Here is a 25,788-nt window from a genome sequence, read left to right on the forward strand (position 1 = left end):
GGGAGGCCATATAGATATGCATGCAAAGTCTCTCCCCACCTCTCCATTTACATGCCAGGATTTCAACTCTGCGACACTGAGTCCCTTCATTTAGCCAATTAGTCCTTCCAGCTTCATGTAATGCACGCCAAAAAGAAGGAGAAATAGAAGTGCTGACGTTCACTGCTTTGAAAGTTGCTATTCTAATGCCAAAGCTGCCTCTTGAGCAATTTCCAGAATGTATTAACATGGGAGCAAAGCGCTATTCCTAAAGACAGGGATCACATTATGCAGGGGAGCCCCGTTTAACGTGTCACAATTGCACAGAACCTCCATCCCCTGCACGATCTTACAGTTGTAGTTTGCATGGGCTCAAGTTTACGGTCTTTACTTAGGTGAAACTTAGGAGGTCTTCCTAAAGAAAAGAAGCAATTTAAAAATATCTAGTAAGCAAGGCATGGCACATCTTTTGTACCATGGCATTGACCAAGTCCTTTTACTGTCATTCTGAAGAAAGCTGGTCAAGGTGTAAAGCAAACCGGCCTCTCAGTTTAGGACAGAGTGAAGGATTCTTCAGTTTCTTTCTTTCTTTCTTTTTTTAAATCAATTAAGTCTAGGTTCAATTTTAATTATTTTAATTTGGCAGACATCCCTAGAATTTTCCCTCCATATTAAGGACCAAGTTGAAAACCATTACATAATTGTGTAGCTGTGTATCTGAATGCCCTCTTATGCACGTGATTCTGATACTTAGTAGGCAACAAGGTGTCGCTCTGAAATTTGAAAAACCATTAATTCTTCAGCTGACCACCCTGTTTACAGCTGAAGCAGTGATAGAGATTTTAATATCGCCTTCTCCCTTACTCTTGGCAATGGATTTACAAAAGCCAGTTTGTGTCAGCCTGGCCCTCTACAAATTTAGCTGTTCTTTGCTTAAATCATGACATTTGCAAGAGATGACTGGACAAGTCCCCCACTGAGGCAGCATAGCAGAGGTGAAGGGGCACTTGAAGTCCTATTTCTTCTACACGTTGTCTCTGCTTACTTCGACCACATCTGTCTTCTAGGTCTCCTTTTCCCAATACACAAAATTTGAATACTGACTGAGACGATCCTGCAGGGTTCCTTCTAGCCCTTTTTTGCTTTTTTACCCTAAAACGCTCAAAATGATTTCTTTCTATGTCTTTGGCTTCTATAATTTATAATCTTGGCTCAATCTTCTCCCTTCATTTATTTCCTCAATATTACCTTTTGTAACTCTTAAATATGCTGTCCCTCAAAGAACTATCTTAAGGCCATAGTTTTTTCTTCTTATACTCATGCATCTGAAGGGCTGATGCACTCATCCATCTTTTCTCATAATCTACCTCTTTTAGTTAGGGTTAACTAAGTTAGTTAACTTAGATAACACTTTCTCTTCAGAATATCTCTACTTAGATGGCTGCTAGCCCCTCAAAACCCAAATAATAAAAAGCATTCTCTCTTTCCTTTTAAATCATTCTGCTATACAAATTCTGTGTAACCACAGTCTAATATATCCAATGCCTCAATCTTCTGCTAAACGTTCACATTTTAATATATTGCTTCTCATATAGAGCCACTTATCAAATTTAGAAATTTTCTTATGATGATGTTAACTCAAATATACCTTTTTAAACTAATATTCTTGGCCAGCTCCTAATCACATTGTACCTAGGATATGAAAATTGCCTCCTCAGCCGGGTGCGGTGGCTCACGCCTGTAATCCCAGCACTTTGGGAGGCCGAGGTGGGCGGATCATGAGGTCAGGAGATTGAGACCATCCTGGCTAACACGGTGAAACCCCATCTCTATTAAAAATACAAAAACAAAATTAGCTGGGCGTGGTGGCGGGCGCCTGTAGTCCCAGCTACTTGGGAGGCTGAGGCAGGAGAATGGCGTGAACCTGGAGGCGGAGCTTGTAGTGAGCCGAGATCGCGCCACTGCACTCCTGCCTGGGTGACAGAGCAAGACTCCATCTCAAAAAAAAAAAAAAAAAAAAAAAAAAAAAAAAAATTGCCTCCTCACTCCAAACATATTCTCAATGGTTTGACTGTCACAGTTCCCTCTTTAGTCCTCCAGTGGCTTTCTACCCTACTTCAGATCAATTGTGAATTATAGACTCCCAGCACTGAAAGCCCCCTCCCTGTAGGTCTGCTTGTCTAACCTGTCAGCATCCGGTGCCACTAAGGCCCACCTTAATCCACACAGCAAGTCGCTTTTGTCTTCTGGCTTCCTTCCGCTGAGAATACACCCTCTCCATCTCTGAACTTTTTCCACATAAGCCTGCATCTACGGAATAATCCCTCATGCACTGAAGAACATCTTTCCTTCATTCAGATGATAACTTAAACCTCACTTATGCCAGAGAGATTTCCAAGATGATTACCAGCCAACTGTTAACCCTCTAAAACAAGGTAAGAACCACTCCACCCACCTTTCCACACATTTCAGAAAAAAATTATATTTTTAATTGTGTATTGTAGTTGTTTATAAATTATTTTGATGGCAGCAAAATATGGTATTTAATACAGTTTATTTATTGCCTTGCAACTTTTAAGTCTTGATTTCAAATTGGTATAAAAAACAAAAATGAAAAAAGTCCCATTTTGTTACTTTAATATATATAAAGCCATTTAAGTCTCATGCTTTTTGAGATCTGTCAACCGCTATGCACATGATAGGTATCACTAAACACACACTTGTTGAATTGAATTGAGGAGGAACCATCTTAAACAGTTTACTCACAGAGGAGGAAGGAATCAGAAGACTATGAACATAAATATTCCATAGCAGCATCTGAGTGTAACAAGAAATAATACCAAAATGAGAGTTTCCCAAATTTCTCTCACCCTCTTGATTGTTTAATATTATATTCATAAAACTATATTTTTAAAAACAGCTTTGATTTTAAAACGTTAAATTTACACACCAAGAAGTAGACACTAGCAAAGTCTCATAGTCTGATTTATTTCTCTGTAATATATCTGTCTTGAGAACATCAGCAGGAATACACCAAAGAAATATGTCCCTCACGGGATCAACTATATAAAAAGACAGAACACATCATCAGCACAAAAATCATTATCCATCTAATTTCTCCCATTCTAGATGGCTCCAGTGAGCCCCTCGATCATTACTGACTAGGGTTAAGATAGAGCTTAATGGATTAATTAAGCCAAAGCAGGACTGCAATGCAGACCGAAGAGGAGAAGGTCCTGACACAGATGAGACAACAACTCTGTTCCTCTTTTATTCAAATGTGCAAGACTTGCCCACCCCCAAGTACTACACATTTATACTGTAAATAGTCTCCAAAAATAAGATTTGGTGTCTGCTGTCTGGGTCTTCCCCTCAGCACTCACCAACATCTAATACTTGGGTGTTAATCAAAATGTATCGTGTAATAAGAAATTAAATGTTAAGACTTTCTTTTTCTTCAGAAACGTGGAGAATGATTGTTAACAGAGGTAAAGCAGTAGAGGCAGAGCACTCGTTTTGGCAATCAAGGAGCACCAACTAAGGGAGAGGTTATTGTTTGAATGTCAATGTGACTCTGAGAGAGGGCCAGGGACACAGAATATTCACAAAGAGCTGAAAGGAAGAAGTGCCCACAGCCATAAAGTCACGGGGACTGGGGGGCATGCCCAAAGGCATCTGTCGTAATAGAAACCTTGAGATTTGTTCATTTAAAGGGGATTTTGAAATTCAAATGTAAAAAGAGAACAAGATAATCCAAAGGGCACAATTTGGGGCCTTTTTCTTCTTGTAAAAAGAAGAGAAAATAGAGAGAATCCCCCATACCCCCCAACAAAGTACTGTACCATAGTGGCAGTTTACTCTCACTTTTACGAACCAAATCAACATATTAATGACTTAAAAACCACGTTCACAATGGGGACAATCAGACTCTATCAGACACAACATTAAATACGCAGGTATTAAAAGAAAAAAATGCAAACTACCAAGAAATACCTCACTCCGGAAATGGTAAGGCTGACGAAAGCAGACTATGTCATTAATACCAAGCACACCAGAAAGGCATCTATGGAGCTAGACTGGGAGGGACAGGCCTCATTTGCACCAAAGAGGAAGTGCCCTGAAGGGGCCCAGAAGTGGGGAACTGGGTAGATTTTAGTCTTTTTCTTTTTTTGGTAGGTGGGGGGAATGACAGAAACCTGGCAGGCTCCTGTGGAGGTCTGGCTGCCCCCACCATGTTGAGTCCCAGTGTCTAAGTAAGTAAAGAAATGAAAAGACACCTATCTCAATGGTTGTCCTGAAACAGTTTTAAAAGCAAGTACAAGTCCCCAGCCCCTAGTAGAATACAAATAATTTCATTTGTGATTCTTGCATCAAGGAAAAAACTTGTGCTAAGTTCAAACAATAGGATACCTCTCAAAAAGATATGACTTCTCACTAGAGAGAAAGAATCAAATTCTGGAGTGGGAAGTGTTTTTTACCTTAGTGATCTTTTAGTCATTTTGTAAATGAGGAAACTGAGGACTTGCCAATGGTCACAGAAGTTAATTCTGTAGTTGGCAATTCTAGCAGTAATGAATTTACAGATAGATTTGGGGCTATGAGGAATCCAGTGGAATTGGGTCCTTCAAGGCCTTTTATTTAAACAATTATACATATATATACAAAAAAAGATACAGGGGGAGAGATCTATAGATATAGATAAGTCTGTATAAAATATATTGCTGGGTAGTAAAAAGAGGACCGGTGTTGTAGCATTTTCACTACCATGGTCAAGAAGCCACGGACTAGATTCATTTGTTCAGTGAACAAACAGTTACTGAACTCTGTGTGCAAGTATTATAAAAGTAAAAAAGTACGATTAGACATAGTTTGTGCTGTTTCAAAAAGAGTTAACAGTATAGTTGTTTTATATCTACAATACAACCTCTTAAATAATCAAGTAGTCAAACTAATTCCTATTGGATTAATACAAATCATAATCATTAATTTTGAATCTTGAGAGAAGGCATAAACTCTGCATTATATTTTAGTTAGACACTGGAAATAATCTGGAATGTTTCTGGTACCCCACATCTAAAGATTGGATTTCAGCTATTCGGTGCATTTGGATGTTTTTTTCCCTTTAGAATCCATCCTAAATTCAATGCCCTAACTCGGTAGCTCAGAAACAGAGCTCTCTAGGCATTGCTGCTCTCCTTCTGCCCAGTCTCTGAGAGGGTATTGAGGTTGAGGATGGGGATGAAACTAAGAATAAGGCAGAGAACGTTGCTAAGTCATGCTTCTTTCAGATCTAACACATTTGTAGTCAGACCTCTGGCCCTCCGTATCCATGGGTTCTATATCCGCAAATGGAAAATATTTGGAAAAAAAAAACCTCCAATAAAAAATAATGATACCACAATGAAAAATAACACAAACAAAGAAACAGTGCAGTATAACAGCTATTTACATAGACCTTACATTGCATTAGGTATTATAAGTAATTTAGAGATGATTTAAAGTACACGGAAGGATGTGCATGGGTTATATGCAAATACTATCCCATTTTATATTAGGGACTTGAGCATTTGTTGATTTCGGTATCTGTGTGGTGGGCTGGGGTGGGATGGGGTGTCCTGGAACCAGTGCCCTGCTGATTGGATATCAAGGGATGACTGTACTTAATCTCCAAGTCATTTCCCTTACAGTTATATTTTAGTATATGGCAAAGCACAATGATTTCCTTTGAGATGAACAAAAATTGAGTAGCTAAAACCTAATGAATACAATTAGTTTAAGTAATCTGGTTATGGAGAAAAATCACTAGTAGTAAAGAAGTGATCATATTACCCAAGCATTTCTCTTAAAAAGAAGAAAGGAGAAAGATAACATGTGAGTGCCTACTACATTTCAGTACTATGCTAGGTTCTTTACACAAATTAGCTCATTTAATTCTCATAAACATCTCCCAGAGCAGAGATTGTTTCCATTTCTTCTGGTAAAGAAACTGAGGCACAGCAAGATTGTGTTTTGAGCAGACATACAAAGCTAGAAAGTAATTTATGGCACTCATATTTGGATCCAAGTTTGTCCATCTACAAAGCCTATAAGCCTGCTAAGGGAGAAACCCAAAAATGAAACAACAATGAATGCCACTGGCAGTCTTTTTATTGGATATCTACTATATGATGCTAAGTTATGTGCCCAATTAATTCGAATATAAACACACATTTTCTGCCACCTTGATGTTTAAATATATGAGCATGAGCAAACTAACATTTGGATCCACCATAGAATATTGATGTAGAAAATTCAAATCACTCATGTATTTTTTTAATTTTAGAAGACAATTTACCTGATGTTGCAAAGTTATCATGCAAAAATTAATGCTAAAAACATAAAAAATACCCTATAAACTCTTTCAGTGCCAGGGAACATCATGCACTGCTCCTACAAAAACCTGGCACAGTGAATTCCCTGTTAACTGCCAGTAGATAGGGTTTTATCCTTAAAAATATTTAAAGGTGAGCACATAGTCTGCTTCATTTTTACTCCAGGGTTGGCATTCTCACTGCCTCTACTTACCTTGTTTTCTGTAAAGTGTGGAAAGGAAAACAAGTGAATTTTTCTCTCATATATGAAGGCCTAGATGTGGGGAAAGGTTGTTTAAATGAAAACATGGAGTTTCTCCTCGTGCTAAGCTGGGGCATTTGGAGAGTCCCCTCCTCCCTGTGCCCCTCCATCCACACAAACATACACCCCAGTTCACGTTCTAGTTTCACGCGGGATAGGAAAAGAAAACGAAAAACAGAAAAAGCAGGAAAAAGTACAGAAGAAGAAGGAGGAAGGATAGGAAGAGGGTCTAAGGAAGTAGTGTAGTCTTCCAGAGTGCTCCAGAAAGTGAAACGATGAAAAGGGTGAGCCTCAAGAGCAAGGCACCTCCCAGCTCTCCATGGATGAAGAGTCTCTATCAGCTCCAGAACTAAAACCCTCAGTAGGCAGGATGGTGCTAAAAGAAGAAAAACTCTGGAAGGGGGTCAGAGACGGATATTGCAGAGCTTTCTAGCCCCTTCTACATTACGTATAAAAACGATTATTCAAGAAATAATGTAATTTTCCAGAGCATGTTCAAATGCAAGAAAAAGGTGCATTCTAAGATTAAATGTACTACGACAGCTAATGATTCATTATGTTAAAGTTATTTATTATTTACAATTATTTTCTATTTATGACATTGTAGTCTTTCATTGACACTTGATAATCAAGAGTTGACAAAATACCATTTGAACTGCTTTGCTAAAGAACAAAAAAAGAGGGATTAAGGTAGACAGGAAGTGCGTCCACCAACAATAAAAAGGACACATGACTCATACCCCAATATTAATGACAAAAATATCTACAGTGAGATCCTAAAGTTCTGGGTATTTGTCTAATTTTTCCACAATCAGAACCAAAGGTAAAAACAGCATTGACAGCTACTGCAGTTTGGTCTGTTTAACAGACCAAATGCTGGGATTTCAAAGATTCATGGCTGGGATTCCAAAGATTTGTCCATGTTGGAAACAGCATTCACAGTAGCTTTTCGGTCAAGTGGCACAAAGGAGTGAAAAGGTAGAAAAGGAAACATTAGCACCAAAAATCTCTAGTCATCTTTTACCACCTTAACATGGGTTAGCTGAAGGCCATGGAGAATAACGGATGTGCAGTTGTCTCTTTCTTATACAGACAGCAGAGAGAGGGGGGAAAACCACACACTTATATTTTGCTAATGTAAAAGTCCCAGTGGAAACATTAGCACTCAAAGACATTAATGTGGATTTGGGACACTCCCTGAAGGATTTTGATTCCATTAGAAAAAAAAAAAAAGACAGTGACAGATATAATCCTGCTTTGATATGTTTAATGCCATTTAAAGAGAAACTGTACCCATTTACCTCAGGCCAGGACACCAAGAGTTCAAAAAGTGAAATACCATTTCTCAGTGCAAAGAAAAAGCTTGGAAAATATTATGTGAAAATTAATTTGGCATGCTTCTTTGAAATTTTAGATTTCTGGGATGAGCAAATGGGTACAGTTTTCTTTTAACTGTTTTTGAACACCATGTGTTGAGAAGAAAACAACAGAATGGCAATTGCTCATCCAAAATGCTAACTTGTGGCATGGCACAGTCAAGATGGCCTGCCACAGCCAAAAAGCAGGTGTGTGCTATGCCTCTCACTTCAGTAGCATGCACGCCACATGTCCCTGCATTCGGCAACCTCTTGCATTTGCTTTTGGAACCTTTCTGAGGGGGACAGTAAACATGACTCAACAGAATGTCTAGCTGAGGAGGGACTGGCTCTCTGAGCCTGCTGTGAGACAGACTTTTTGAGGAAGAACCAAAGGAAAACTGGAATAATGTATTTATTTTGGAATTCTTTGGTATCACTTCCTGTGACCTAACACCAAGACGACTGGTTCCAGATCATTTTGTGTGGATGAAATTTAGCATCTAATCAGGTCGGAGAGTAATGGTGAAGCTTTTGTGTGACTGGAGAGGACACATTAAATCAGCTACCTCATTTGGACTGAGGTCAAGGTTAATGTAGCTGGTACAGATCATACGAACCTAACCTAAAAGCTTAGAGTAATAAACTCCTCACCCCTCAGGTCCATGGATAAGCTTGAAACAGGGTGTACAAAACCATTTGGTGTGCTGGGATGCCAAAGCTTCTTCAATCTGACATTATGAATCTGTTATTATGTTACTCTAGGAATTAAAATAGTTTTACGTAGATATAGGTCCTTTTCAACTATACAACAGTCCTATGAGGGAGACGAGGAAACAGAAAAAAAAGATTTTCCTTCTGCCCTGTAAGAAGCCTGATAAAGAGGCCAAGTTAAAAGTCATGACCACGTCTAAGCTCAAGTCAGGAACCACTTGGAATGAAATCCCAGGATATCTGTGCTGTAGGAATAGACAAGGTCTGAAGATAAAGAAGTAGATGAAAATCAAAATTACTATTTTAGAAGACAGGAGTGGGACACCTCTACTTTATTCTATACTTTTAATAAATACATCAATAATAATTTATTAAAAACCTACTATGTGCAAATGTCAAGAGTGGGGAAGAATGAAACCTATAAGTAATAAACTGGAAAGAAAAAACATCCTTAAGCTTTTCTGATGTAACTGAGTGATGTTCTCTGCTTCTGAGTAGAAATTTATGGATTCAGAAAAGGTAATTTCTTTCCAAACACTCACATGCCATTGTTAATTTCACTCATTCAAATCACAACATTTACTACTATACCTTTTATTTCTGATGGCACATTCTAGGTGTTGAGGGGGATACAACTGTGTGTAAGTACAGTCTCTGTATTTATTAAGCTTACTGTGCAGTGGCAGGAGGAATGAGACATATAAACATGCTCTAGTATAAGACAGTATGTAATCAGTGCCACAGGAGACATACAAATAAGTGCTTTAGCAGTTCGGAAGAAGCAAGTCCTCCTGGCTATAGAACCACCCCTCCATAGACATACTGAAATGACTCAATGCACAGAAAGGAAGGATCTGTACAACTTTAAGTCAACTTACAATTGATGTGCATTAGGGGATTGGAGGGTTAGCTAGGCTGTGAGGGGAGGGATGTGCTCACTGTGTCCACAGCTCCTCTCACACTGGGTCACCCCATAATTAATGTTTATCAAAAACATGCATGGATAAAAGTGGAAGTCAATTGAATGATAGACCAGGTCAATGGGTCTGTGTTAGTTCTAGATATTTTAGATGATTATTAACACCCTGCTAGAAGTTGGCATTATAAGAACATCATTTTCTTCCCACACTAGTGTAAAAAGTTCAGTTTTTTACCCATTCCAGAGTGATGGGAAGTAAAATTCAGGGCTTCAGTCTTCCAAATGAGGGAAATACTTGGCCTGTGCAAAATGCTCTCGGTAGGGGTATCAAAATGTCTTTCAAAACAGCAAAAAATACATTTCCTGATAGCCCCTAAGGAGTATGAGTTGGAATCCATGTTCTCTAGATGTGACGATGGAGTTCGGGAGAGGCAGGTATGCTAGGATCCATATAAGATCGTATTTCCCATGGTAGTGGGAAATAGAATTTGAATGTCCTGGCTTCTAGGTCTGGGTTCTTCCTACAGAAACATCTTTTTCATTTTGTATTCCTCTTGGACACTCTAGTCCTTTACCTCATGAAGAGTAGCCTTCTGCAATTGGGGTGTGTGTGTGTGTGTTTGTGTGTGTGTGTGTGTGTATCTTTCTAAGAGAGAGGATAGCCTTACTGATGTGCTTTTGTAAAGGATTCAAGGTTGTCTGGATCCTCAAATAATGCAATTGAAAAAATACGGTTTCTTTGATTCAATGGTGCTTACATTTGAGCAGCGTTTTCTTTTTCCATTCTCAAACACAGTATTTGAGACTATCTGCCAACAATAAAAAGGTTTAGAGCATCAAAAGTGTAGGCGAACCAAATCAGAATTAATCTCTGTGAAAACCGAGATTCAGGCGCATGGAAAAAGTTTAGGAAAAAATCCAGGTGGGAGGCAATCCCATAGAAAGGTGTCTGGCATCTTTCCTGATTCAAAGTGAGGTGTAGTAGGACACATGTGGAAGAGAGATGAGCGGTTCTAGCTATTCATATGATCCATTGTCTCACCAATGCTCACACAACTTGGGACTGTGTTATCAGGGGGCCATTTGATTTATCATGTAGTCCATGTATCCTATTGTATGTATGATCCGGAGAGAGGTTAATAAAGGGAAGTCTAAGCTTAACTGGGACTAAAATGAGGTGGCAAACAGCCATTCACTCAAACAAGACTCACCAGATTAATCTGTGGAGTATCCAGCAGCATTTCCTTTTATTATCATATGAAAAGCTGTGCATTTTATTGGAAAATAATTAACTCTTTAAAAAAAAAAACTTGCACACCATAGCAGCAAAAGGGAGGAAGATAACAGTGATCACTTCTGAACACCTGGTACACGTTTGGCACTGTTTTTCTTTATGCATGGATTTCTTTACATATGTTATCTCATTTGATCTTCATACCAACTACGAATGATTGATATTTTGCCCATTTTTTTTGTATAAGAATCCTAAGGTTCAGAGAAGTTACGTAAATATCCTTTGGTCACACAGCTAGTAGGGACTAAGCTGGAATTCAAATTGGAGCAGTAGGACACAAAGCCTGTGCTCCTCACCATGCCTTGCCAGGCCAGACTTCATGTGCTTTTCATGGCATGAAATCAGTGTTGGGGGAATTCTGCCCAGCATCTCTGGTTAGCAGAGTGAATTGCTTTTATCATTTGCCAACATGTCACAGAAAAAAACAAAACAACAAAAAAATTAAAACTCCTGGCTCTAGATTTCCTATCAACCTGAAGTTTGGCTTGGTTACATATTATTTGAATATCTGACAATCTTATAAAAAGTCTAACGAGAATAAAAAAATTCTTCATTTATGCTAGCTCCTATGTTAGCTAAAAATCTCCTATTCCTACATAACAATGTGCCTGGGGAACTCTCTCACTGCCAGAAACTCATCTGAAAATGCTGAAAAGTCAGAATTTGGGGCCTATATACTGACTAATGTTACCAGCTGTGAGTCAGCTTGAACATCAGTAATATGATATTTCCCGCTACAATTTGATTTGGTTAAAATGTGTTTGAAGTTCACCCTTTTATTAACTGGAATTACCACCTCCTGTAACTGGAGGGCCTCTGAGAACAGGCTGCTGGTGCAATCCACCTTCCCACCCGCCAACGGTGCATTTCCTGGCAACAAATACTATTAAATTGATAACTACAGAAATAGGTCAAAATGTCTTTTCAATAGTTGCTAATATTTCTCTAATGCTCCATAGCCTCCCTTTGATTCTTGTGCTGACATTTTTTTTTGATGAGTGCAGGAGCAACAACTGTTAAAGAGAAATGACCAGAAGAAAGGAAAGCTGGCTGGGGTGGATGGAGGTGCTCTTAGGAGTTCCCGTATCAGACAGAAAAGCTAGATCTCCCTAGAGGCCCAAGGGCCCCAAACTCAGCTCTGCTGTTGAGTTTGGTGACCCAGAAGAAAACCTGTGTCCCATCTGAGCCTCAATACTCTCATCTGTAAAAAGAGGAGACTCGAGATGACTGATTATTCAAATTTGCAAAATGCCCAGAGTTCACAGGAGGTAGAAGCCCTGACTTATCACAAAACATTTGGGTTTTAAATTTGTTTATAGTACTCTTATAATGTTACCTGTTAAGGCCTTGGCTATCCAAGATAGAAACTTATTTTCATACAAAAAAAGTAATATTGTGTTATATTTTCGTAAGAGAGACCCTTTGCTATCATACTGGGTTTTATTCACTATGTAAACCTATATTCCCTCCCTCTCTTTCCTCCAGGAACAAAGTTTGCTTTTCTGAGTTCACATCACATGTGTGATTACAGCAAAGACAGAAGTTTGAGGCTGCAGTGAGCCATGATTGTGGCACTATACTCCAGCCTGGGTGATTGAGCCAGACTTCAACCCTTAAAAAACAAAAAAGAAAGGGGTGGGGTGGGTATAGTCACATTGGGAACATAGCTGATTGTGAGCCTGCAAGAAGAAAAGTCCCCTTGCTAAAAAAGGTTTTCCAGCACTTCTTCTGAGATGCAAACATACCACGGAGGGGTCAAGCCATTCATGCCTTCATGCTATAACCACTTCAACTCCAAGAGAGTTATCTCAGTGTAAAGCAGTTTTGAACTGGAGCTGGAGGGAGGGATAGGGATAATTCTGGAACAGGGGAAGGTGAAGGAAGCAATCAGATTAACTAACACAAGGACCCTAGGCTCTGCTGGCAGAGGAGAAGATGAAGTGGGTGACAAGGACTGAAAAGAACCCAGTCTCTATTGCAGTTTTTGCCCAGGGCCTTGTCTGGAGCTGGTGAACCACTAAAAAAATCCCTTGAGAGATGTCATGGTTTATCAAAAATGCCTTTGGCTCTTCTGTTGCTCCATGGTTGTGCTGTTGCTCAACAGGCGGTCAGCAAACTACAGCCTACTTGGTTGAGGTGAGAGTAGCTTAATCTCATATAATTTAAACTCACAAAGACTATCTCTCCATCAGATCCCTTCTGTTTTCCTTCCTTTCCTAGAGCAGGGAGGAAAAAATGTGTGAAAGTAAGGGCAAAGAAGGAGGAGGAAGAGGTAGAAGAAATTAACCTTTCCTCAGCTTCCAAGTGAGTTAGGCTTTGTGTTAGGTAAGCATCTCTCTAGATCCTTCCAACAGCCCTGAAGATATTATTAGTAATAGGAAGTATTTTATAGGGTTGAAGCAGCTAACTAGAGCTCAAGGTGGCCAGTCAGGCTCCTTGTTACACAGCACTCTTTTCTCAGCTCCTACAAAATATTTATTTATATGTATATATTTCTTTTTCTTCTCCTCCTCCTTTCACTCATGGGTGCTTGAAAACAGGTTTAGGAGCCAGTCATGTGGAATTTATCTTTCAGGAATGTCGAACACCCCTTGAGTTATCCAAAGCATACCTGACTAGGAGTCAGGAGGCCTACATTTTCTGGATTAAGGCTTGGTCCTAACAAACTGTCAGTGTGGACAGGCCCATCCATCTCTGGGGTCTGCTCCAGGCCTTACAATTCTGTAATTCACACTCATCAATGTGGTGGCAGGCATTAGTGTGTTTGTACAAAACTCAGCAAGAAGTAGTCTCCTTAGATGCTACATGTAGACTGAAGCGAGGAACTGCCTCCTGCTAATGCCAGTTGTGTTTTGAGTAAGAAGAATAAAAGGATTGATCTGAGCTGAAAGCAGAAGGGAAGATGAGGGGAAGGCCACAGAACACATAGCTAGCAGTGGCATTGGTGGGGGTCTGAGAGAGGCAGAAGCCCAGGGCCAGAGCTGAGAGATCAGCTTGTTTTTAGCATACACGGATGTGTTTGATCACATGATGGTTGGGAGGTACCTAGGCTAAGATAATCTTAATGTTAGGTGCTCATTTTAAAACATCAATTTAATGACTGAAGCCTATTTTAATGATCCAATAAAGGCCAAAGCCCTCACTACTATGATACAACTATTTCTCCCTAGTATTCACTCCTTGCCAAAAAAAAACAAAAAAAACCAAAAAAAAACAAAACAAAACTTGGCTGAGACAGCTATAGAGTTTCTGATTACAAAACAAGATCACCTTGATCATAATCATCTCAAGGTGCTTGGAGGAAAGAAGGAGAGATGAGTTCTTCTGAACCACATTATGTGGACAGAAATCTTCAAAGAGTTTAATGGAGGAATTAACTTTTGAGGAATTGAAAAAGGTATCATTTTCAGTAAGAGAAAAAATGACTGATACTTTCAATTGGTATGCTAGGGAAAGATAAATTCTAGGCAAGACCAGCTCTATAATTTGTGGGGCTCAAGGAAAAATAAAAAAAGTAGGGCTCCTTATTAAAAAATTATTAAGAATTTCAGGACAGCAACAGAAGCACATCAAGCCAGGCATAGGGCCCGTCCAAACATGGGACCTTGTGCAACTGCACAGGTTGTATACCCATGAAGCTGGCCCTAGTTTTAGTTATTGTTTTTACCAAGGTATTCCAGTCCCAGAGCTACCCAGACCCAAATGGAAAAGCACATACCACAACTCTCAAAACTCTCAGTTAACCCTGTCTTCCTACGGTAAGGACACAACTGAATTCTGCAACAAGGATCAGAAAATCCTGGGGTCTGCCAACATATTTGATAGATTGCAACTGCACTGGCTTCTGCGACATTTGTCACAGTCACTAATCCGTGTTTCTGTCACAACCTAAGGATGCCCAGGATATCAATGTCTGGGAATTCAAACATATTTTCTAAAAACACAAATTTATTTAAAAACAACAACAAAACAAGCAGAAGTCACTAAAAAGAAGCTGAGTCCCCTGGATGAAAGTCTGCTCTTAATCTCTTTCTGGCTTTACCTTGAGTAGGTCTTGGGTGTATGCACACAGGTTCAGAAGTGCAGGTGAATTACCACAATAACTCTTTTCAGTTAGAGAAAAAATAGCAGAAACAGAAGAATCTGGTCATAGCCTAGCAGAAACTCCCTCATTTCACCAACAGTATGCTTTCTCCCTTTCTTATTATGCTAAGTTGAAGCGATGACTTCACTCTCCATGGAAGCTAAGTTTCTCTTTCCTGGATGCTTGGAATGGGCCTGGTGAAAAGCTATTGGAGGGTAACATCATGTCTAAAAAATGTATGTATGTATGAAGAAAGTAGAGATTTAAAGAGCTCAGACCAACATCAAAAGAATAACAGCAGTCCAAAGTGAAATGAATGTGGCCTCTTTTCCAATGACCTTAGGGACTTTATATATACTTAGCCTACTTCTTGAGTGGATAGACCAGTAGCTTGGCAGATGCCTAGGATGTCTGTACAGGTTGAAACTTAATTCCGTCCTTTCTATACATCTTTGTCCCATTAAAGAAAAATATCTAATATAGAGAACCAGTTCACTCCTACAGCCAGAATTATACTTTGACACTAGACCAATTGCTACATCCTTGATTTAGGATTTTTTAAAAGATATCTATTGGCAAAGCTAATCTTTTATTTGGCTTAATAGGTTTGTACTGCTGCTCTGCATAAGGCCATTAGGGTCCATAAGTAGATGGAAATGTGTTTGAATCTCTATAATCATGCTTAGATTTCAAAAGTCTTCCATTTCACAGAGGTGATGTAGGCTCAGCCATCATTTTCAAGTGTTTTAACAAATGGTAATCAGCAGAGAAGGTCTTACTTTTTTTTTTTTAAAAAGTGACTGACCTTCACAATGGATGCACACATAAAACTCTGATTCATTTATTTTAAAACCATTCTCCCCTGCTGTAAATAGATAGCTACGATATATACATTAATATATGTGTGCACAATCAGCCTTAGCAATACTGCTGTGAAGTAGATGAGGATAGATGGTTTTCTATTTATTTGACAAATACACTATTACACAGATAGGTTAAGCGATTTGTCCTGTAAGGAAGGGTGGAGCTGGGGGAAAAAAAAATCCTCCCACATCTGCTCTTACATGATACCACTATGGAATTGGGTATCCTTTATTGTTTTTGAGTGACTTGATCTAAATAATGGGTAATGTAATTTTCCTGAAAAAAATTTCACTATTTCTCTCATTCCCTCTTACTTTCTTCTTCTCTCTGCTTCTCCTCTGAGATTATTATAAACTATTGATAAATGTGGTTGCTCTAAATTTACACTTGCTCTTCATGGGCTTTGATGGGTTTCAGCTTCTAAAGAGAGCATAGGGGAGAAAAAAGCTTATTTCTAAAAGGTTTTAAAAGGATAGATAACGCTGGGACAGTTTATTTGAATTAATGTCACTATAAAGTGGATACTGGTACGAGTACTGTCTTGGACCCTTCTCTCGCAAGAGCTAGTCCAAAGGCTCTGAAGTGATACCATGGGAAGGAAGAGCTTTTTGGAGGCAGAACCTGCTCATCAACACTCTGCTATTCTCCTGGGATATCAGACAAAAGCCAGAGCTTTCTGTGCACCTTCCTGTTGAACTGCTTTAACTTGGAACTATTCTCTACATTAGGGCTGTCCTCTCTGAGTCCCTGACCTTAGATGGTCTTTCTCTATTTTGGCACATATTTGCATATCAGTTACGGTGACATATTTGATAAATAATGGGCCTCACTGTTTTTTGGCCAGTGAAAAACTATTTTGCTATTATTTTAACTCTTTATTATCTCTTTTGTCGATTATTTGTGTGACTAAAAAGATTTCTTGTCTCTTATCATGCTTCTGGTTACTGTTTCTCAATGTCATCTGGTAAATGCTTAGAAAATACAATTTTATTTTGATAAATTCTAAACAAAACATAATTATGAAGAAAAACCAACAGAGACAAGTATATAATGAATTTTGAAGCTAAATATAATAAATAGTTCTGAATTTTCTGCCACTCCGGCTCATTTAGAATGTAACATTGCTGACAAATTAGTTATTCATGCTGTTTTTTAAAAATCAGGGGCAAAATTATAAGTTTCAATTCTCCTAATAGGAGTTATAACCCCTGCAGCATGAAAGCACTTGAGTAATGTTTGCTATGTGAAACTGGCTTCGGTGATTTCTCCTGAAGGAAACTGCACTATCAAAACCTTCATCAAGGCTGCTTCTGTTTAAGACCCACTGCACTACGAATGTCCCTGTACCCGTCAGAACCTTGGCTGGCTGTCATCCCATCAAGCACCTCATCTGCAGTTGCCACTCAGACATGTAAAGCGTGTGTTTGGGGACGACGCGCGGTGGAATGAGAAGGGATACAGAGCTCTGTTGTACCACTACATTTATTGTAAGCAACCACTTACACGGCAACTGCTTTGCTCTTTTATATTCTAGGCAACACACCGGTGAATATAATTCATAATGAACATATTCAACATTTTTTCCATCAGTTCAATACATTATTCATAAATATTAGAGATGGAAAGACCTGGAAGATTACAGAGTCCAAACCTCCTTTTTGTAACTCCCTTTCCCCTAACTGTTGATGGTAGCTCAAAAAATCCAAACCAAAACCAAAACAAAAAAAACCACCAACAAAACAAAATAAACCAAACAAACAAATAAAATACAAACACACAAGGAAAGCAACAAATTTACAAATTTTATAAGTAAAGTGAAAAGCTCCAAAGCTCGTGTTTGGTGGGGGTTGTTGGGGGCAGGATTTACACTGATGGAGCTCGCTGAAGACTAGGAGTATGGATGACTCTTTGCTTTGAAGACAGGCCAAGGGAGGGAAATGTCAGTTTCCCCCTTTTAGATAACAATTCAAGGTAAAGCCCAAGAGGCAATACCAAGTTCTTGGCCAAGTGTTAACTATCCATCTCTACAGCCTGTTGTGGACTCAGGACTCAGGCACTCTTCTCTTCATTTAGAACTTGAGATATTAATGCTAATGATAAAAAGAAAATGTATAAATGAATAGAGAGTGAAAACTACTAGAGAATGCTCCCTGGGATTATCTGTACTATCAAGATAGGAAAACTTTGCAGATGCTACTGTCTCTCTAGAGGAATAAATGCTTGCATTTTAATATTCTCAGCAGCTGGTTCCTGTTGAATGCCATCAGGATGATTCAGCCACCCACCAGGAACACCAGTAACAGCAAGTGCACACACAGAAATCTGCAAAACTTTCTTCTCTTGATGCCAACACCATTACTCTGGCAAAGTCAAAATCCTTTATTGAATTATCAGTTCTACTAAATGTGACCTTGTTCCCCTCACAAATACCAGCTTATTCTCAAATAAATGGAACTTCTGGCTGATTAAAATGTAACATTCCTTCTGACTTGAGCACACCCTGCTGTCAGTCTCTCTTCTGCCATGTTCATGTGATCTACCTCTTTTTCGTTTTCTTGCTATCCACTGAAACCTTGAAGGACTGGCAAGATCCATACATACTCAGAGTCCACTTTGTATGTTGCTCTGCTTGCTAAACCCATACATTTAATGTTATATCTCTACCCTTACATGTCTCAAGTTATTTCATCATTTCCATTTTTTAGACATTTTCTATTTCCACAGAATGTGTTTGTATGTCTGGAAAAACAGAAATGTGTAGCTGAACTGCATTTACCATTGACCTCATTAATACAGAATTACCATGCCATATTCAAGCTAGATAAAAATGCTATACTTGCCCTCTTCTTCAAATTTAGACCAGATTACACACTAAAGGGAAGAAAATGCCAAAGATGACAGCTAGCTATCAAAAAGATCTCACTGTCTCATTTTCAGGTCTCCAAAGTAAAATCTAAGGACATTCAACACAGATTCAGGTGCTCTCAACAGCCATGAAAATATATGGCTGAAGAGGGAATCTATAAATGTAATGAATACACAATTGGCTTATAACAGATGCAACCAAAATTAAATTCGATATCTTGACCTGCTCTCCAAAGTGAAAGTTTCTAGTTTAGGCTACAGACAGAGGTGTAACAAGCTCATTAATCACATGAACCAGAAATATAAGCTGACACTTCTGGGGATGCTGCAAAGAGCAGTCTTAAGCTGTTGGGGGTCTGTGGGGAACCTGAAAAATCATGTGGCTCTGACAGTCCACAGCAAGCAACACCACTGCATTTTACAATGTATGTGGGTCAGGCACTGGCCATAACCACCACTATTTTAAACTTCCAGGACAGGATTTAAGGATCTTTGTAGGGAAATAATAGGTCCAATATGGACTTTTATAAAAAGATTCAATATATTTTTATTAGGTTCCTGTTACACAAAAATCATTGTGTTCATTGCATGAGAAGACAATGAATTAGGTCAATCTATGACCTCGAGAAGTATATAAATGGGAAAGAATCAGAGGCAGGGGAATATTAATAAGTAATAGTAGCAATAACAATAACAACAATGATGAGTGATAACCTTGAGCTAGTCATTCTGCTAAGCACTTTATATACTACATTTCATGGAATTCTTATAGTATCCTAGGAAGGCAGATATCGTTTTTCTCTTTACAGACGTGGAACGTGAGGCCCAGTAAAATTAAGTACATTGCCTAAAATTATGTAGACCTGTTCTTTACATTACAAATAAATACATAAATAGCTTGCATATAAAATGAAATATGGCAAGGCTCATTAAAAGATACAAAGTGTTGTAGAAATAAAGGAGGCAGAATGTGTTTCTATTTGGGAATACTAGGAGAAAAGGAACATGGATGGGAAAATGTGGTGTGTGCTTAGGAAACAAGGATTGTTCCAGTTTGTAATGTTATAAACCTGTTGAATCATCAATGTCTCATTAGAACTCATACTTTGATAAGATAGTAAAATATACCAATCTGTACAGGAATATTTCTACAAAGAAATACTTCTTTCCAAAAGATCTTCTGACTACAATTTCTCAAAACTTTTCTTGTTATTTATTTTTTGGTGGCGATAGAGGGAGAAAAAATGTGAGATACAAGGCTATGGAGGTCTGGGCAGCAGTGTTAACTCCAGAGTCTCTAGGGAGTACAATGCATTTGGGTGCATTTTCCTTCATTCCTCAGAATGCCTTATCCTCATCACACATATTTGTCCCTGCCACATCCGAGGTGAGGTTACTGGCATAGAAATAGAAACCCTGAGGGTCTGGTTTCTTCCACTTCTTCAAAGTGGGATATCACTTACTTTTTATTTTTATAAATTAGTTTTAGTGGTCAGCCTTTTGGCATAGGAGTACATCAAGAAAACGTGAGTTAGAAAACTTGAGTTCTGGTCCCAGTTTTGCCTTGCTCATCTTGAAAGCATTTTATCTCTTCTCTGTGTTTAAGTTTTCTTATTGGCAAAATGAGTAGTTTAAGCCTGAATATCATTTCTTAATCTGTTGGACAACCCCCTCATCAAATTTTTTTTGATAAAAATAAAACCTTGTTTTAATGTAGATCCTTCTATTCTTCTCTATTTAAAATTCCTGGTTCACAGAATGCAATATATAGTACCATTAGTCCAGATAATTTTGTAGAGCTTTACTTTCTCTATTTTGTTAAGTTTTTCTCGTAAATTTTGTTTTCCAAATATAAAACATTGTAATATATATGTATTTTCAAATTCTACATGGTCCTCGACCAGATATTCCAATATTCCATTCTGAAGAGTTGGTTAACCCACTCACCCATATTGAGATATCTAAAGCCCCTTCAAGCTCCAAGATACAGTGATTATGATGCTCTGATGCTGACATTTGCTTTGTCAACGCTTAAAGCAGAGCTTTTAAACTTCAAACAATAGCATAACAAGTTGCTATAACAATTACACTTACATAAATCTTTAAGCAGATGTGCATAACAGCTCTTTACATCTACTATCACACTGGACAACCAAAGCTTATGATGTTGTTATAAATCCTTGCAATAGTAAATTCTACAGTTAATTATAACCTATAGGAAAAAGTACTGTCCATATTTAGAATTGATTGACTCTTATTTTCCACATCTGTTAATTTTGCACCCAGCTATAGGGCTTTAAATAGCTCCCATAACTTTAATCATTAGCCCCCACTCAGTCATGACTTCTATGTCTCACCCTTCTGACCTTGCCCACTGAGTTCACTCTTACTGATGTAATCAAACATGTTTCATTGTAGTTGCATTCGTCACAGTGCTCATTAGAATTATCATCATTCCTACAGCACCTCAGTGCAATGAAATTGTGTGCCTATGCAATTTGTTGTTATTTTAAGTTCTTCAGCTGGAATTTTAAAAATCTAGATGGACAATTTTATTTTATCTGATCGATAAATATATATCCAGTTAAGTGCCTCTGAAAAATTGGTAAGAAAATTATTTATTAGAGCAAAATCTTAAGTCTAGAGAGATTTTTGTAAACTTGGACAGCAGCATTCACTGACCTTGAATCCACAGGTTCAAAATTTATTAGTGTCAAGTTAGTCTTTTAAAGCAATCCATTAAAGCAATAAGTATAAAATATATATGGTTTACATTTATGTATGTGTTGAATTTAATAAATTAGTCAGGAGTCAAGGTATTTTTAAAGAAATATTAAATCTGTTCTATATTGATCAATTAACTGACTTTCTAACTTAAAATATTCTTTTGCTGTAGTTAAAACCTTTTTTTCTTTTTAAAACAAACAGAGTACATAAACTGTAAGGTGGCAATGTAGTTCACTGCGACAATCTATATATTCCTTAACGTTTGTTCTTTTTATGGTCATGGTATGTAGAAACAAATAAATGTATAATAGTTTAAGTCCAGGAGTTTTTGCCTGACTAAATTCTAAACACATAGCTTAAATAAAGGGTTGAAAGCCTGGCATCTCATCATTACTGTTTATATGTTATAAGGTTTGCAGGGCCACCTTATAAAATATATAGTTGTTTATTTTCATGTTCAATAAATAAGTAGTGTGGGGTTTCAGACTGAGAATGGATTACAGATTGTTCTCTCCTGGTTATTTTTGGCTTTAAGTATATTGATCATTTTATCATTTTCTTGTTTTAAACTACTTTAAACACAGCACAAATGTTATTCTCATCATGCCAGAAATGGGTTTGGAATTGATTCTGAGTTTCCATCAATTTTACTCTTTGCTCTTTGTGAGAAGTTTTGCACTGCTTAAATTCGAAAGGATAGTTTTGTTTAAAAGATGTCACAGTACAACATTTAGAGAACCTTAGCTGCCCAGAAAAACTCAGATTTTCTGCTTTACAAAAGAATAAAAATCATCGAATTTATTACCCTGGACTTTATTGAAATCAGTGAAGAATATTCATACAAATACAGTTTCACGAACTTCCTCTCTCTCTTTCTTCATGTAAGTGTTTGACAAAAGCATGTATCTTCTGAGAAGCCGGCCTGATTGGTCCAGGTTGGCACTGTTTCAGTGTTTGGCCTACGGCGGCTGCTTAGGAATAATTTCATCTCATCCTCTCTATTTTCCTGGACTGTATCAAACTCAGACACGTGGTATGCAAAGGAAATCCAAGTCTTTTAAAAATGCTATTTCTTTTGGTACTAAAGCCAAGACCAGTTCTACTTTGGCCAAATGATCTTATCAAGATTTAACAAGAGATATTCAGTAATATCTCCAATCTGTGAGAAGACATTCCACTAAGGAAGATAATTTATTACATACAGTGTACATATATTTCTCCACTTGGTACCAGGAAGAGACATGATCAAACTTATTCTATTGGTACTGAAAACAATGTAACACTGACAAAAATTCTGTGGCAATTATTCATTTCAATTAATTTAAAAAGAAATAAACAAGTAGCTCTTCCCCCATTAAAACAGATACTGGAAATCTATTTTCAGTTATTGCTGAAAATATTTTGGCTTCCACAAAGGCACCTTACTAACACACTACTTTGCCCTCCACTGTGCTGTCACAATTCAGAACTTGTAACATTTTATTCAGGTACTCTAGACTAATTAGATGAAACAACTGCATTACAGTATTAAGATGCTTTTGTAGAATTAAATGAAAGGAGATCTGCACAGTTCAGATAGCTTGGAAGATTTGCAATGAATATCACCAAAATCCTGCATGTGCAATATATTTTTCTACATTTACAAATTAGCTAATGAATAAGTGTATTCCACAATAACTGCTAGGATTTAATTTCACACTTAAGAATATCAACAAACACAGAGAGAAATTTAGATAGGTAAACTCCATTTCCCTTCCCACCCCACCCTAGTGCTCCCCTGCACTGTTTGCATTTCAGAACAAATGCTTCATGTCTCTTGAAAAGCGCCAGGAAATCTCTTCTCTAGCTATGCAGGCCTCAATTTTATGTGTGTAGTATGACACACCTTAAAAGAGAGAGCCCCACAAACTAGAGTGGGACGTTAATTTAAATACAGACTTAAGGAGAAGAGCTCCATCTACTGAATCAGTTAGATCATAGTGTGTACCCTATAGTTATCCCATTCACTACTTTCAACCACTTAGAGGCTCTGGAGGGAACAGGAAAGTTATAGACCTGAGCAACCATGAAAAACAGCTTTGAGCCTAATGCCATTTGGGATATTTCTCGGATACCCTGAGCCCCTTTCCTTTGCCCCTCCAATTTCAAAGCTTTCCATGTTGCAATATAAAATAAAAATGGATGTTTTGCTATATGAACCATCCCTTGGAAGTAGAAAGTCATTGGTTGTTGAAGGAAATGTCTCAGACAGTTGAAGAGAAAGCTACAGAAAGAAAATCTCTAGCTGGCAGGTTGGGCAGCCTAGGTAAGAAGGGAAAAGAAGAGTAGCCTACTTACTCCTCCTGCCTTGCACCATTGCTGGGGAAGCCTGCAGCCACCCAGGATCAGCTCTTCTGGCCTCTCCCCGGCTGCACAGTATTGTTGTGGCATTGGGAATTTGCTGTGGCTTCGTAAGATTATGGGGATGTGCTTCAGCAAGCCAAAAAAGTCACAAACAAAATTCAAGAGGAAAAAAAAAAAGTATAAAAACAGCTGATCTTACTGGAGAAGCTCTTGGCATTTTCCTACATATGCCACAATTTTCTCTGGTATTTCCTGGTTCTGTGATCAGAAAAATTATCGTATCATATTTATTACTGTTGTTTTTTTCAGGGTTGCTGGTGGTGACGGGTGGTACAGTGAGGGCAAACAGATGGATCAAGGAGAAGCAAAGTAAAGATTACTTCTCCCACTTGTTTGAAAGCTTTCCAAGAGATTGCAGGTTAAAAAATCTCTTCTTCAGAATACTGAAGATGTATAGATATCACATATAGGAAAAGATGGCCATACTCTTTCTAGATTGGGAAAGAAAAAAACTTCTAACACAGTAACAGATTCGGAACAAAGCAAATTGTATCAGAAAAAACTTAAACGTTCATATAGCTGCATAAAATTCAGCAGCATATAAGACTTATAAAAATACTTCATAAATTAAGATAAAATATTTGAATATAAATGGGTGTTAAGTATATATATAATTGGATGAAAGCAATAGTTCAGTGAATTTTTTATTACAGAAAAATAAAATATAATGAATTAACAAAAGTTTTACAGTAATGCTAACCTTTTCTCTTGTAGGTTAAAATAGAATTAATGTAACTGTAAAGTGGATTCATGTTTCCCTGTGGGTGTGAATGTATATATATACCTGCCCAGGTATTACTGACTGACACTGAAAGGTGATATGTTGCAAAGAAATTCAAACTTTGAGCATTATTTTAAATTGGGTATTTAAAATATCAGTATTAACCTGGCAGGTTTCTTTCTTTTTCTTTCTTTCTTTTTAATACATTTAATTTTCAGGGTCTGTTTTAAAGCACGAAAAGAAAAACAGATTAGAAAAGCATTGCACATCAATAAGTATTTTGTAAAATAATCCATTTGCATTTATTAGAATATTCAGTTCTCAAAAAACGGCTAATTGGATTTTCTTCAAGCCTTTTCAAGACAAGTTCAGTTCTGTGTCAAGGATAACTATGAGAAATTTCACCTCAAAAGGTAATTTGTTTGGTTAGTTATAAAAGCCTGAAAAACAAGATTATCTCCACCATAACTATAACAAAACAGCTAATGAGTAAGTACATTCTGGTAAGAATCGATAAGAATGGCAAAGCCTGAGAGGGTCATCGCAGACTTGAGAAAGGTAACCAAGTGAGGAAACATCAAACAGAGTTAAAGCATTCTGAAAAACGGAAAGTGTTAATAATCACTGACAGGAAAGAATATTCTTCGATAGCGATGACAACAACAAAACAAAACAAAACAAAACAACTAAAACAACTGGAAATACATATCTCCAGAGGCAAACTATGACTACTTATTAAGCAAGAGGAGAACCTGCTTCTTTGTCATTCCCTTTGGAAGCCTAGCTTTAAAAAAAAAAAAAAAAAAAGGTTGCACAAAAGATACATGTGTTCCTTTTCTGGTATTATTACAGGCCCACCTAGATTTAGCTTTCGATTCCAGATGAGATCAGGCATGTTCAGACTAGCACATCTTTGCTCTGTAAGCACAGAGCTGCTATCATTTCACTGGCAAATTCTCGTATCCCCAAATTTATGCACAATAGATACCCTTTAAAATCTGCAAATTTTCTATTTCAGTGAAATAACTGATTGAGTTAATTTTTTTTCTTAATTTACGCTGCTCGTATTAAGCTGAAAAGTTAAGGCAGGCAACTCCTATAAAAAAGGAAAGTTGAACAGTACTTACCCTAAGTGTAATGTGCAAGCCTTAATGGGGCAATTTACTTTTGCTCTATGATATTTAGAAAGGTGTCCAGGTCTAAACTCAGCTCTCGCCTTTTTCCCTTCTGGAAAACTGAGTAGACTCACAG

At 37.8% G+C, this 25,788-nt stretch overlaps 1 protein-coding gene across 17 annotated transcripts in view, besides 2 other annotated features; it reads right to left on the reverse strand.

Moving 5' to 3' along the window:
* Window positions 1–25,788, reverse strand: part of ZBTB20 (zinc finger and BTB domain containing 20) — an 832,789-nt gene that overhangs the window by 109,859 nt on the left and 697,142 nt on the right. The window lies entirely within an intron of this gene.
* Window positions 4,221–4,270: an enhancer, noted in NCBI's record as "active region_20276". NCBI's record gives its function as "activates an Ori minimal core promoter by ATAC-STARR-seq in GM12878 lymphoblastoid cells {active_cell/tissue: GM12878}" and the evidence as "EXISTENCE:reporter gene assay evidence [ECO:0000049][PMID:35858748]".
* Window positions 25,363–25,512: an enhancer, noted in NCBI's record as "active region_20277". NCBI's record gives its function as "activates an Ori minimal core promoter by ATAC-STARR-seq in GM12878 lymphoblastoid cells {active_cell/tissue: GM12878}" and the evidence as "EXISTENCE:reporter gene assay evidence [ECO:0000049][PMID:35858748]".

The sequence above is a fragment of the Homo sapiens genome, chromosome 3 (assembly GCF_000001405.40).
Source record: "Homo sapiens chromosome 3, GRCh38.p14 Primary Assembly".
Taxonomy (NCBI): domain Eukaryota; kingdom Metazoa; phylum Chordata; class Mammalia; order Primates; family Hominidae; genus Homo; species Homo sapiens.